Source organism: Homo sapiens, chromosome 2, assembly GCF_000001405.40.
Source record: "Homo sapiens chromosome 2, GRCh38.p14 Primary Assembly".
In the NCBI taxonomy this organism is placed as follows: Eukaryota; Metazoa; Chordata; class Mammalia; order Primates; family Hominidae; genus Homo; species Homo sapiens.
The window spans coordinates 219,498,771-219,512,125 of NC_000002.12; the positions used below are offsets into that span (position 1 = coordinate 219,498,771).

The following is a 13,355-nucleotide window of genomic DNA, read 5'->3' on the forward strand; positions in this document are numbered from 1 at the left end:
TGGACTTCAGCACCTCTTTCCTCTCCCATAAAGTTAGAAAGCGGGTAAAGGGTCAGACTACAATTCCCGGCAGACCCTGCGAATGAGTTCTCGCGACTTGCGAGAAGACACGTGCGCGGAAGGAGCTTGCAGTAGCGGGCGGCAGAGCTGGAGTGAAGGGAGCTAGTGGTAAAGGGAGCTGGTGGAGGGGTGGCGGCAGGGGTAAGGGGCAGGGGACACCCTCTAGACGGAGAGCGGGCTCCGAGGTCCTGGCTGGCCCTCGGTGCGCCCGCCCCTGTGTTGGTCCCACAATCCCTGGCAATGAGAGGCCAGGGTTTATTGGACAGAGTCAGTTGTGGGGTTCAGAGGGTCAGCAATCAATCAATCCTCCGAATCCAGAGATTTAGACCCAGTCGTCCGTATTAGGACTGGAGGGGGGTCAATAGGTTCAGTGTTTGAGATGCCAAGGGAACCTGTCTTTTGATTTGGGGTTCAACATACAGAGGTTAGTTTTAGGATTCATGTTTAGCATATAGAGGATTTTTGCTGGGATTAGGGGTTCTTCAAATTCAGATCAGTGTTAGTTCAGTACTTGGGGATTACGTTCAGGATTTAAGTTAAATATCTGAGGCTCACTCAGGGTTTGCTGTCCAATATTCAGGGTTCACTATTGGGGTTCAGGGCTTAATATCTAGAATGAAGACGCAACACTTTGGGAATTTGAGGCTTCAGTATTTTGAGGTTTGGGTCTGAGAAGGGAGTCTCTGCCAGGTTTCTGAATTTGCAGAATTTGTTCATGGCCAGAGGGAAGTCTTTTAGAGATCAAATTGTGGGGTGTGAATTTCAGAATTTGGGAGGAATCACTGTGAGGTTTGAAGGCCGACTGGAATCTGGGTTGGGATTTGAGATGTGTGGGATTTGTGAGGTTCTGTCCAGGCAGGGACTATATTGAGCTTTGGGTTTACATCTTGGGGGAGGGCTAAGTGCTGCTATTTGGGGTTTGGGGTTTGGTTGGGGTGTGAGATCTGAGCTTGATTTCTCTGCTGGGATTTGAGATGTGTGGGATTTGTGAGGTGTTGGGTCCAGGCAGAGACTATATTGAGCTTTGGGTTTACATCTTGGGAGAGGGCTAAGTGTTGCTATTTGGGTTTTGGGGCTTGGTTGGGGTAGGAGATCTGAGCTTGATTTCTCTGTTGGAATTTGAAGTTTAGGTAGCAGTCACCATTATGCTCAAAGCGGTGATCCTGATTGGAGGCCCTCAAAAGGGTGAGGTGCCAGGGGAATGGGGGGAGGAGGTTGGGCTGGAGTGGTAGGCGGGATGGGGGCAGAGGAAGGCAGGAGGCCGAAATGTTCTCCTCTCTCCTCTCCCAGGAACTCGCTTCAGACCTTTGTCTTTTGAGGTGCCCAAACCATTGTTTCCTGTGGCAGGGGTCCCTATGATCCAACACCATATTGAAGCCTGTGCCCAGGTAACCTCAGGGGCTCCCCTCTCTCACCTCACTTCCTGCTTATCTTCATGCTGTTTCCCCCTTTCCCAACCATGAACTCTTCCCACCAGGCATAACTCCAAGGACCATCATTCACAGATGACAATGTGAATGGCGCCCCCTCAAGTTATGCTGTGCAGCTGCCCTGCTGTCTTCCCCTAATCTAGTTTCTCATCTGGCCTCTTCCTGCTCAGATTTCACTCCTATTTTTAAAGTGTGGAATGTGAGATCAGGCAAGGATCTTGGAGACAATGTAAAGCCGTAGCATGGAGACTCTTAATGATAACCAAGCACAAATTCATATCCTTGATCACATTGTTGCTCATTTCTTTATTGCTTTTCGTATTGAGCCAGGCAAGGTTTTGGTTTGAATTCAGTCTCTGCCTGCTGTGAGGTCTGCAACAAATAACACACCCTCTCTGACACTCAGTTTCCTTATGTGTAAAATGGGGGTGATTAGACCTACCTTGTTGGGTGGTGAAGCTTAGAAATGATATTTGTAAAATGCCTAGTACAACGCAGACCCTTGATAAATGGTACCCTTACCTCATGCTGATCTCAAGCTTAGGCTGACAGATAATAAAAATGGCCGGGGGGGAGGGGGCGGGGTGGAAATGGATTAATGCAGCTTGGTAGGCAAAGTCTTTCTTAGAGTGAGTCCCAGTTCAGGTTGGTGGGGGTAATAATTGATTGAAAGATCAGGCCTGGCATGGTAGCTCATGTCTGTAATCCCAACGCTTTTTGAGGCCGAGTCAGGAGGATCGCTTGAGGCCAGGAGTTCTAGCCTAGCTTTGGCAACATCAAGAGACCCCTTCTCTACAAAAAGTTTAAAAATTAGCTAGATGTGATGGCCTGGCTGTAGTCCTAGCTGCTCTAGAGGCTGAGGCAGGTGGTGACATGGCTGTAGTCTTCAATACTCAGGAGGCTGAGGTGGGAGGATCGCTTGAGCCCAGGACGTGGAGGCTGCAGTGAGCCAAAATCATGCCACTGCACTCCAGCCTGGGCAACAGAGCGAGACCCTTTTTCACAAAAATAAAACAAAACGAAAAAAGATCAGGCCTCCGACTTCCTCCAAATTCCTCATTGTCCAGAGGAGAAAATAGCCCAGAGTGGTGAGTGCCCTGGGGCCCCACAGCTGAGACTGAAACTGGTTTCTGGACTTTGGGCCAGCACCAAGGATTTCCCCAACATCCCCTCCTATTAGATATTCTTCATCCCAGCCTCTTCCCTTGTCCTCAGGTCCCTGGAATGCAGGAGATTCTGCTCATTGGCTTCTACCAACCTGATGAGCCCCTCACCCAGTTCCTAGAAGCCGCCCAGCAGGAGTTTAACCTTCCAGTCAGGTGTTTGTGCACACACTCGTATATGGGGGGGTGGGGATGCCCTAGGCCTCTGAGTTCTTGGAAGTGGGTTGAGTCAGCATTTGCTGGAGTTCATCCTCGCCTACTAGAAGGATTCTTGTTTGGACATCAATGAATCTCTGAGTATATAGAGTTTCTCTGTGGGCCTTGGGCAGGAGTAGTCCTGGGAGCAAGCGGTGGCGGTCAGGTGCCCTGGCTCATGGTATCTGTTTCCTAAGATCCACTGAGCTGGCTCTCGGGTCCCTGGGGACAGGTACCTGCAGGAATTTGCCCCCCTAGGCACAGGGGGTGGTCTTTACCATTTTCGAGACCAGATCCTGGCTGGGAGCCCCGAGGCATTCTTCGTGCTCAATGCTGATGTCTGCTCCGACTTCCCCTTGAGTGCTATGTTGGAAGCCCACCGACGCCAGCGTCACCCTTTCTTACTCCTTGGCACTACGGTGAGGGGGTCAGGAGGGCTGGAGGGTGTAGAGGAGGTGATCCCAAGAGCTTCCCGGAATTCAGGGTGTTGGGGAGGCAGGGGCGCCCCGGGAGTTGGTGTGGGAGCTGGCGTCAGGAGGGAGATGCGCTGCTCTGGCAGCATGGAGGTGTTAGTGGAGACCCCGAGCCCTCTGGCTGTTCAGAAGTAGGGAGGGGGAGGGCAGCTGTCAGTTTCCACCCTTGCTGAAGGCCTGTCAGTGGCAGAGCTGCATGCCAGGTGCTGTAGCGGAGGGAAAGAAAGAAAAAACAGACGTGGCTGCCCTGGAGCAGGCGGGTCACTGTCTCGGGTGTGTCTGTCTTTCAGGCTAACAGGACGCAATCCCTCAACTACGGCTGCATCGTTGAGAATCCACAGACACACGAGGTGAGAGCAGAGTGGGGGCTGGGTGGGTGCCTACTCTGTGTCATCATCCCCTCTACCTCAGGCCTCTAGAGAATGCTGGCACAGTATGGGGTGGGCTCTAGTCTTGTCAGACAGGTGAGACACTCCCGATTAATCATCTTATATCCCTTTAAGAGAGATTGACCAGGGGGAGGGGGGGAATGGTTAATTTCCCTGGGGGTGGTGCTGTAATAAATGTATGCACAGTGCATGATGGGAACACCAAGGGGGCCCCAACCCAGCCTTGCTGGGGTGGGAGTAGAGAGGGCTTCCTGGAGGAAGCAAGGTCTGAGCAGAGTCCCATTTGTCTAGATGACAAAGGAGACAGGAAGGTACTACAGGCAGAGGGAATGGCAGGTATAAAGGCCTGGAGGCAGGAAGTAACATACCAGAAGCAGGAGCATGATAGGCAGGGCAGCAGGGCTCTGTCCTGTTTTGTGAAACTCCCTTCTCCTAAGCCCCTTGACTTTCACATAACCCTCCCTCCTTTATTTATTTATGTATGTATGTGTTTATTTATTTATTTTGAGACAGAGTCTCACTTTGTCTTCCAGGCTGGAGTGCAGTGGCATGATCTTGGGTCACTGCATCCTCGACCTCCCAGGTTTAAGCCATCCTCCCACTTCAGCCCCTCAAGTAGCTGGGACTATAGGCATGAGCCACCATGCCCAGCTGATTTTTTTTTTTTTTTGAGACAGAGTCTCACTCTGTTGCCCAGGCTGGAGTGCAGTGGTGCGATCTTGGCTCACTGCAGCCTCTGCCTCCTGGGTTCATGCCGTTCTCCTGCCTCAGCCTCCTGAGTAGCTGGGATTACAGGCAGGTGCCAGGCTAATTTTTGTATTTTTAGTAGAGACAGGCTTTCGTCATACTGCCCAGGCTGGTCTCGAACTCCGGAGCTCAAGTGATCCACCTACTTCAGCCTTCCAAAGTGCTAGGATTATAGGCATGAGCCACCACCATACCTGGCGTCACATACTCCTTTTATTTGTTCGTGCTTTAATATAAAACATACATATAAACACGCACACACACATGCATGTACACACCTACACACATATAGTTTTGTGCTCAGCACCAGGTAGCTGTGAGAGAAACAGAGCCAAATGGGTGCAGTCCCTGCCTCTTGGTTACTGTGAGTCTAATAGGAGTGACAGAATCAAAAGGCAACCTTTGCAAATGATACAATGCCATGGGTGAGGCGTGGCCAGAGTTCAGGAGTGCCCAGGCATGAACAGCTAACTCGGGCCAGCAAGAGAGGACGCACAGAGAGAGTGACAGTGTCAACTGGGTTTGGAAAGGTGGGCTTTCCAGATGAAGAGATGAGAAAGGCCATTCCAGGCACAGGCATGCAGTCGGGTGGAAATGCGTCTGAGAGGTAGGTGGTGGGGAGGATCAGGCAGGGAAAGCCATGGACTTTGGATTTATCTGAAGCTGAATCAGGTGAAGGGCAGTCATCTCAGGGTTTAAAGCCAGGCAGCAGTAGGATGCGGATGCGCACTGCATTTTAGCCAGGCCACCCTGGCAGCAGGGAGGAGAGGCAAGAAGGGCCTAGAAATCAGAGGGTCTTAGGGGACTGTGGCGGTAGTCCCTTCTTCTACTGAACCCAGCCTGCTCTGTCCTCAGGTATTGCACTATGTGGAGAAACCCAGCACATTTATCAGTGACATCATCAACTGCGGCATCTACCTCTTTTCTCCTGAAGCCTTGAAGCCTCTTCGGGATGTCTTCCAGCGTAATCAGCAGGATGGGCAATTGTGAGGCAGGCCCCATAGCCCTGTGACCCCAAGTACCCCCAGTCACGGACCCCAACACATACCAGTCTCTGCAGGCTCCATCTCAACTTGCTCACCTTCCTCCTCCCCTCTCCCTTCTCCACTTGCCATCTCCAGCAGAGCCTCCTGAGTCCCTCCCCTTCTAACCTCATTCTGTCCCTCTTCCTTATCCATCCCAGTTCCTCCTCTGTCACTGCCTGCCCACTCCCCTTCTGGTCCATTTCTCCTAAGCCCTGAGTGTCCCAGAGACGTCTTTCAGAACAGACAGCAACACACAGTTGGGCGCACACATGCTCGGGTGCAGACGTGTGCACGTGCACACACAGACAGACATGCATACTCTCAGGCTGAGGCTCCCCTTGGAACATAGCACCAGAGCCCTGCTCACCAGTCCCAGGGTCTTCCCTCCTGGGGCTAGAAGCTGTTCCCTTCTAGGGATCCTTGCCTTAACCCCCCACCGCCCCATCTAAGGCCTCCTCTGCTCATAGCCATTTCTCACTCCCACCCGTGTCTCTGCTTCCCTCTCCATCTCTCCTGGCCTCTCTGTCTCTGTCTCTGCTGAGCTGGCATCTCTACCATCTCTCTCTCCCTTTCTTTCTGTGACTGTCTCTGCCCTCACCAGCTGCCTTGCTCTGGGGTGAGTCTGTCTGTGTTTCATTCCATCCAATGAGGGGGAGGGTAACTTGGAGGGGGTAAAGGGCTGAATGGGGATGAGAATGTGAAAATGGGGGGAACTCCTTATGGAAATGGGGCAGGGATGGGAAGCAGGCCTCTGCCTGGGGCTCCCTTGTGATAGCACCCACCCAAGTGGGGGCTGGGTGGGAGAGGTTCCTGGGATGTGAGCAGCCACATCCCAGAGAGGGCCGAACCAGACCTGGAGAGAGGGGCTTAGAGAGGTGGTGGGAATCCTCCTACTCCTGTCCCTGGGAGACTGTGTTAGCCCCACAGTCGGGGCTCAGCTGGGGGACTAATGTCAGCATTCTTCCTCTCTGCCAGGGAGGACTCACCAGGCTTGTGGCCAGGGGCAGGTACCATCCGCCTAGAGCAGGATGTGTTTTCAGCCCTGGCAGGGCAGGGCCAGATATACGTGCATCTCACTGATGGTATCTGGAGTCAGATCAAGTCCGCAGGGTATGGAAGGCTGGGTCCCCTGGGGATTGAAATTTTGGGGTGGTGGGCACAGGCCCTGCTGACCCCTGAGCCCCTGTCCCCCTTGCGGTCCCCAGTTCAGCCCTCTACGCCTCCCGCCTCTACCTGAGCCGATACCAGGACACTCACCCAGAACGGCTGGCCAAGCACACCCCAGGGGGCCCATGGATCCGAGGTACCCAGCCTGCCCCAATTCCTAACCTTTGGCTTCCACCCCAGCCCTCTGAACCAGGATTCTTGACCTCGAGTCCAGAGTTAAAGCCTCAATCCCTGCCCCTTCCTGATCAAATTCGGTTTGGGATATTTGCCCCCAGGGCCTCTCTTCTGCTTCTAGGGAATGTGTACATCCACCCGACCGCCAAGGTGGCCCCCTCGGCTGTGGTGAGCACTGGTCCCAGCCCCAGGGAGGGAAGGGTGGTGGTCGGATGGATGGAGGGTGCCCACGCTGCCTGAGTTCTGGGTGCCGGTTTCTTCACTTTGTCACAGCCTATTGTGTGTCCTCGAGCAGGTCACTTATGCCTTATCTGTTCTAGAAGGGAGTTGGGTTTGGGGATCCTCCAAGTCCCTCCAGGGCTTATGGTGTGTGCTTCTCTCCACAGCTGGGCCCCAACGTCTCCATCGGGAAGGGGGTGACCGTGGGTGAGGGTGTGCGGCTCCGGGAGAGCATCGTCCTCCATGGAGCCACTTTGCAGGTAGGTACCAGCATACACAGCAGCATGTGACACCCCAAGAGGCTGCGGGGAGGGCCCAGGCATCCCCCCAAGAACAGAGAAGGGTGAACGCCGTGGGCTCTGCATCTGGCCACACCTCACACCCTCCGGTTCCTGCTGCCTCCTGCCTCTTCCCCTTACCTTTCACTGTCCTCTTTGGCAGGAGCACACGTGTGTTCTGCATAGCATCGTGGGCTGGGGGAGCACCGTGGGACGCTGGGCCCGCGTGGAGGGTACCCCCAGTGACCCTAACCCCAACGATCCCCGAGCCCGCATGGACAGTGAGAGCCTCTTCAAGGACGGGAAGCTGCTGCCTGCTATCACCATCCTGGGTATGGCTTCCTGGGGGCCAGGGCTGGGGGAACCCCTCAGCTGATGGCCAGTGGCCCCGGGGAGCATTCGTTCCTCTGTGTGCACGCGTGTTTCTTCTTTTAGCAAACAGTTACCAAGGGCCTGCTGTGTGCCAGGCCCTGTGTGAGTCACCGGGGGCATGAGACCAGGGGCACAGATGGGCAGGAGGGCTCCCTCCCTGCTGGCAGTGGCCCCCAGCTCCCTGCCCCTGTCTCCCCTCCCATGACCTCCCCTGGTGCCCTCATCCATGCTGCAGGCTGCCGAGTCCGGATCCCTGCCGAGGTGCTCATCCTGAACTCGATTGTTCTGCCACACAAGGAGCTGAGCCGAAGCTTCACCAACCAGATCATCCTCTGAGTAGGGCTGCCAGAAGGCCCCCAGCTCCTACCCACTCCCCTTGAGGCTGCTGCCTGCTTGGCCAGCCTCTGTCCAGAAAGGACCAGAGAAAGCCAGGCTGGATCGTCACATGCCGGGGAGCAATGTGGATGGCCTGGGGACTCCTGGGTTTTCTCCCTCCCGACTCCCTAATAAACCCCGTGAACCTTGGAGCCAGCACAGACTGTACTTATGTCTGGGCTGGGGGTGGGGGCGGAAGCGGGGCAGCTGAGTCAGGCCCCCCCACATTAGCATTTAAATTGGAGTCGTTGCTGTGGGCTCATGAATAATGAATCTGGAGCCCTGGTAAATCTCCCCCTCCCACTGCCTCAGCCTCGTGCTGCTCGGGAGGAAGGCCCTCTAGGCTCCCCTGCCAGCCTGGTCCCCCCCTTCACCCCTGCCTCCCTGCCTCCCTGTTCCTCCTCACCGGGCCTGGCTCAGGCCCCCATGTGCAAGGATTCCGAAGGGAAGGGTGAAGGATTTTGGTTGGGCAGCAGGCAGAGGAACTGGGGCCACAGGCCTAGAGGCTGATCCCCACAGCCCGCTCTGCTCGGTTCCCGCTGAGCCCAGCCCTGGCCGGTTTTCCGCTTTGCCAGCTCCATCTGCTCCCAGCTTGGCTTTTGGCAGGGTGGGGGTTTTGCCTCTGCCCGAGGCCTCATGTCTCTGTCTTCTACTCCCCTGGCAGGCTGGGTGGGCCTGAGCTGGTGCCATTCTCTTCGGAAGCACAGTGGGAGGTACCCTGTTCTGGGAAGGCCCTCACCACCTCCTGTCCCCCTGGCCCTGCCCTTTGGTAGGTCTCAGCCCTCCTCTCCCAGCCATCTCTCATGTTTGCCCATGACCCCCATGTGCCCCTCTTGGTGCCCCCCTTCCCCAGCTGTGGGTGTGGAGCTGTGTTGCCAGATGAGCTGGTAATGATCGTAATCTGCTAATTGAGAGGAATCTAATTACCCGAAGAGAATGGGGGGTGCAGGGCATGGGTGGGAGAAAGGAGGGGGTCCTGGCAGCAGGCAGGGGTGGCAGGCAGCAGGGTGCTGGGGCCTTGTTATCAGCACCAGGCTCTGGGACAGAGCCCAGGGTTTCATAGCTTCATAGCCTGGCAGTTAGGAAGCTGCGCCTTCTCAGGAGCTGGACTGAGGTTGACTTGGGGATTGGGCCAAATGTGACCTCCCAGGCCCCTCAGGTCCCGTGGGCTGTGTGCCAGCATGTAGGGAACGATCTACACAGTGTGGGGTTTAGCAGTCCTGACCTATAAGCTGTCCCTAGTTCCTCAGTTCCTCCTGTCCTGGCCTCCAGCCCAGACCTTCATTATCTCTCTTCATGGGAGTGGGAGGGGGCTGCAGGTCCCCACTCTGGGCTGGGGTCATCACCCCAAGGAAGGGGCTGGGAGAGGGTGGGCCATAGGACCAGGGGCTAGGTCCCTTCCCTCTCCTCCCCCCTAGTCCTGACCCTTCTGTTCCGAGTGGTTGGCAGAGGCCATGGCAGCTCCATCATAAATATGATAATTTAATTATTTTCTCAGCAAAACACCGTGAAATCCAATAAGTCTGTGTCAGGCCCTGGCCCCCGGGATCCCCCTCCTAGACCCAGTGGGGGTGGGGACATGGTGGGGAGAGGCAGTGGAAGGGGAAAGGGTCAGTGTTTGAAGGGGGGTGCCGCTAGCAAAGCTGAGGTCTTTGTAACATGCCCCCCAGAGGTCTTTGTAACATGCCCCCGAGATTGAAGGAGTCACCATTGTTGGGGGGGGTCTAAGAAGGACATGCCCCCCCCACTCCTCCCCAACCCACTTCTGTGCTGGGAGGGACCTAAAGTCCCATCCATCTCTGAGAGACCCAAGATGGAGCACCTGCCCCTGGACGGGGTGCAGGGGGCCCCTTTGTCCACCGCTGCTGGGACCCTGTGCCCAACCATCATTGGCTGTTTAGGGGTAGGAGGGCGCCAGCCCGGGGAGGGTCTGGGAAGGGAGAAACAAGAGGGAACTGGGGTGGGAAGTGGGGGATGAGCGGGGGAGGGATGCGGGGGAGGGGTGCGCTCCTGCCATTAGTGCTTTTTTCAGTTTCCATAAAAAGATTATTCTGTAAAATCAGCGAGGGGGAGCAAGCTGGGGGCCGGGGAGGGGGGTGGGTCCCTGGCACCAAGCTGGATAGGGCGACAGGGGAGGAGAGCCGGGGACAGGGACCGAGTGTGGAGAGAAATTTGGATGGGCTTCAGGAGCCAGCCGAGGGGGAAAGGCTGAGCCAAGAACACAGACTTGGGGGAGGCTGGCCAGGACAGGGTGGGGTGGGGGCAGAGCCCTCATCTCCCTCCAGTCCCCTAGGCCAGGCTGCCAGGGGGCCCAGTCCCACCTCCATCTCAATCCCCTCCCCCTGGCACTTAGCAGCCATTATCGGGGGAGCAGATTGCAGCCCCCTCCCCCTCTCTGGGAAGCAGGCACAGCTGGGGCCCCACCACATCTGCTGCATCCGCACGGAGCACAGCTGGGTGTGCCCAGAGCTGCACTCCCCAAAACACAAAGGGGGTGGAAAGGGGTGGGTGGGGGCCAAGGAGAGCCCAGACCCCTGAGACAGACACACTGACACCTCTGCCAACAGACACATACTCTTTGAGGCGAAGCTACACCCACTGACACACGCTCCCTCGTGTGCAGAGACGGGAGAACTGGCAAACATGCAATTACCCGGCCCCGCCTGCCACCCCCGCTCCCCTTCCCCAGCCCCTCCTGCTCCCCTTCCTTCCCTGAGGCTCCCCTCTGCCGCCATGGCCACCTCTGAACTGCCCTGGGCTCTGGTGTGGAGGGAGTGGGGGACCTCACACACCCCAAGTACATCCTGGGAGGCTCAGAGAGCAGGAGGGCAGGGGGTGGTGAGGGGTGTCTGAGTTCAAGGGGTGATCTCTGGGAAGCCATCTGCCCTCCTTCCAAGCCCACACCCCTCCCCATGAAGAAGCCCCCTCTGAAATTGATCTTTGCCACAGCCTGGGCACTACAAGGTCTCGGTGCCAGCGCTGATCGCTGCGGCACCCTTGTGCTCCACTGGCCACCTCAAGGGGGTGCTGTGTGTTCTCAGTCTAGCCTTCAGCTCAGCTGCTAGGGTTGGCCCCTGCCACTGCCCCCACCCCCAAATCCGCCCGTTCTCGATCCTCGGTAGTGCGTCCCTCTGCTGCCCCTGACATGCATGGGGTGTGGGGGGCGGGGGCTCTGTCAATGGCAGAAAAGTCCCCCTCTCCTAGGACAGAGGAGAGAAGGATCAGGAATTCCTTCTCTCCTCTCCCCGTCGATGACCACCTCTTGGCCCCTGATGAAACCCTGCCGTCTTCACAGCCCTCACTTTTCCCACTTATCTCCTTGGCCCTAGTGTCTTGCCCTCAACCTTCTCCTCCCTGCCCCACCCCCCAATTCCCACACCGCTCCCCACATGCCCCTCGGAGCTCTAATCCCTCCTGCTGCTGTGCCGCCTTATCTGCTCCCAGCAGCTTTCGCTGCTGCAAAGCCCTCTCCCCCTCCTTCCTCAGCTCTCTCCGCTCTCTGACCAGCACCCCCTCCCGGCCAGCCTGTCTCTGCCACTCAGGCCCCCGCTGTGGCTACTGGCTGACACCGCCTCTGTACCCCATGCCCTTTGCCCTCTGCAGCCTCAGCTCCGAGGTTGTCGGCTGCACACCCACTCCCACGATGGCTGCGTCCATCCCAGCCCTCCCCCGCAGGCCCCACAGACTTTGTTAGTTTCTGGCCAGCCAGGATTTTTCATCTTCCTGCCCTCCCTTTCCTGGTGTCTTCCCCACTTCCTCCTGATGCCCCCATCCCATCTTGGACCTGGTGTCCTTATAGTCCCAGGGACCCGTTGCCTTGGCTTGGGAGTACCCGAAAGGAGATGGGAAGTGTTGGTATGAAACTCGGGAGAAGGTGCTGGGCTGGGTTGGCCCTAGAAAGATGGGGTGGGGGTGCAAGGAGTACTGGCGGACAGTGGGGGCAGGGCCTGGCGGTGGGACGCTAACCCTCTTCAGTCGCCTCAGATCACGTTCGGGACTCCCCACCCCCCTTCTCTGGGACTCTCATTAACCGCTTCTCCTGCCTCGTCCGCGGCATAAATAACCCAGATAAATCAGCCGCCGTCCGCCCCCCGCCCCTCGGCCCCTGCACAGCCCGTTTGTCACCGCTGTGTGCTCACCAGCCAGGCCTGGACCAGCCCAGCCCCAGCCCCCCCATCCTTGTCCCTTACCGCCCACATCTGTCCCACACTGGCTCATCACTTGGTCCGCACCAGGGCCAGGTGTCTGGGCTGGGGAGGGTGTCCTCTGGGTGCAGGGGGAGGGAGGCTGGGCATCTTTTGGAGAATGCTGTCTAGGAGTTCAGGGGGTCACAGCATTTTTGAATGGGGCCAGCCAGGCAAGGAATCTGGGCATCAGCTTGGGGGTTCCTGTGCTTTGAGAAAGCACCCTTGGAACCCCCCAGGTTGGATCCTGGGAGGTCTCTGGGTCTGCCTTTGGGGCACTTTGCCCAAACAAAATCTCCATGCCTCCTCCCAGGAACCTTGAGCCAGAAACCCACTGCTCTCCCTGTCTCTCCCCCCGACTGCATGCACTGCCCCCCCCCCACATTCTGCCCTGTTACCAAACCTCGTCCCAGTCCATCTACCACTCATTCTCACTGTCAGGAAGCTCATCCCCTGGGGGGCGGAGGCAGGTGAATTGGACTGGGAATAAATCTGAGGAATGGGGACAACCAGAGAGCAAAGGAACCTGGGATGAGGCTTCACATTCTGACCCCGCAACACCCAGCTCCCCGGCACTCCCAGTCCAGGGTCCCTAACAGCCCTGCCCCCTTTGCTCACACCCAGCTCAGGGCCTGGCCAGCCACACTTGTCCCTGATGCCTCACTGCAAGGGGCAGCTGGTCCCCCGGGAGTGGGTGGGGGAAGCAGGGAGGGGTGGGGGAGCTTGGGCGCAGGGCCGGGGTGGGGGTGGGGAAGAAGCTGGGCCGGGCCCCAGGGACCAGCTGGGCAATGAGCCGGGGAAGCAGCCGGGAGGCTAAATGAGGGAGATTATCACCCAACTGCAGCCGGGCAGAGAGGGAGGCAGGCAGGGAAGCGGGGAGAGGGAGGAGAGAGGGGACGGGGCCAGAGGCAAAGGGGGTATAGAGAGACAGGGAGGGGGCCAGAGGGCCTGGTGAGAAGCGGAGGGAAAGGTCAAGAGATGAGCTGGAAGTATGGGGGCACTCCCTCAGAACATCACCAGATTCCTGGAGATCTGGGAGACTGGAGGCTGGGGGCTTGGGGACAATTGGAGACAGCTGGCTGTGGGGCAGTGGTGGGGGTGTGC

The 13,355-nt window shown here is 57.3% G+C and overlaps 2 protein-coding genes and 1 long non-coding RNA gene across 17 annotated transcripts in view, besides 5 other annotated features; 2 read left to right on the forward strand and 1 right to left on the reverse strand.

Moving 5' to 3' along the window:
- Nucleotides 1-190: an enhancer, noted in NCBI's record as "active region_17153". NCBI's record gives its function as "activates an Ori minimal core promoter by ATAC-STARR-seq in GM12878 lymphoblastoid cells {active_cell/tissue: GM12878}" and the evidence as "EXISTENCE:reporter gene assay evidence [ECO:0000049][PMID:35858748]".
- The window catches only part of ASIC4-AS1 (ASIC4 antisense RNA 1), a 35,355-nt gene that overhangs the window by 17,039 nt on the left and 4,961 nt on the right, over nt 1-13,355 (reverse strand). The window lies entirely within an intron of this gene.
- GMPPA (GDP-mannose pyrophosphorylase A) lies at nt 121-8,219 on the forward strand. Of its 15 annotated transcripts, XM_047444030.1 has the most exons (14): nt 121-168; nt 1,186-1,245; nt 1,351-1,448; nt 2,706-2,809; nt 3,081-3,267; nt 3,612-3,671; nt 5,313-5,443; nt 6,084-6,098; nt 6,458-6,592; nt 6,688-6,785; nt 6,945-6,991; nt 7,210-7,302; nt 7,484-7,652; nt 7,928-8,219. In XM_047444030.1, exons 2-14 carry the CDS (start codon nt 1,206-1,208, stop codon nt 8,026-8,028), a joined length of 1,278 nt encoding a protein of 425 aa, XP_047299986.1. In that variant the 5' UTR covers nt 121-168; nt 1,186-1,205; the 3' UTR covers nt 8,029-8,219. The 15 variants fall into 15 exon arrangements, with proteins under 15 accessions (XP_047299986.1, XP_047299982.1, NP_001361224.1 ...); XM_047444026.1 differs by having other exon boundaries at nt 121-484; nt 6,688-6,991; NM_001374295.1 differs by lacking the exon at nt 6,084-6,098 and having other exon boundaries at nt 121-484.
- ASIC4 (acid sensing ion channel subunit family member 4) overlaps nt 8,323-13,355 on the forward strand; it is a 31,680-nt gene continuing 26,647 nt past the window's right edge. The window contains exon 1 of the mRNA XM_047444917.1: nt 8,323-8,836. The gene's annotated coding sequence lies outside the window, so the exon portion shown is untranslated. The remainder of the gene's footprint in view (nt 8,837-13,355) is intronic.
- Nucleotides 11,190-11,239: an enhancer, noted in NCBI's record as "active region_17154". NCBI's record gives its function as "activates an Ori minimal core promoter by ATAC-STARR-seq in GM12878 lymphoblastoid cells {active_cell/tissue: GM12878}" and the evidence as "EXISTENCE:reporter gene assay evidence [ECO:0000049][PMID:35858748]".
- Nucleotides 11,434-11,578: an enhancer, noted in NCBI's record as "145 bp enhancer 279/280 fragment used in the MPRA reporter construct; PK_construct_4319". NCBI's record gives its function as "activates an SV40 promoter by MPRA in K562 cells {active_cell/tissue: K562}" and the evidence as "EXISTENCE:reporter gene assay evidence [ECO:0000049][PMID:23512712]".
- Nucleotides 11,497-11,514: a transcriptional cis regulatory region, noted in NCBI's record as "GATA motif; enhancer activity is reduced when this motif is scrambled". NCBI's record gives its function as "necessary for full MPRA enhancer 279/280 activity {active_cell/tissue: K562}" and the evidence as "EXISTENCE:site-directed mutagenesis evidence [ECO:0005528][PMID:23512712]".
- Nucleotides 12,937-13,231: a silencer, noted in NCBI's record as "tiled region #4906; HepG2 Repressive non-DNase unmatched - State 20:ReprD". NCBI's record gives its function as "represses a minimal TATA promoter and a strong SV40 promoter by Sharpr-MPRA in HepG2 cells {active_cell/tissue: HepG2}" and the evidence as "EXISTENCE:reporter gene assay evidence [ECO:0000049][PMID:27701403]".

What these genes read in the sequence shown, in the direction of transcription:
- GMPPA (XM_047444026.1), top strand. Translation starts at nt 1,206, where the DNA reads ATGCTCAAAGCGGTGATCCTGATTGGAGGCCCTCAAAAGG. An exon ending in AGAATCCACAGACACACGAG is followed by an intron (nt 3,672 to 5,312) that starts GTGAGAGCAGAG and finishes CTCTGTCCTCAG; the next exon opens with GTATTGCACTATGTGGAGAA. An exon ending in AGGTGGCCCCCTCGGCTGTG is followed by an intron (nt 6,992 to 7,209) that starts GTGAGCACTGGT and finishes TTCTCTCCACAG; the next exon opens with CTGGGCCCCAACGTCTCCAT.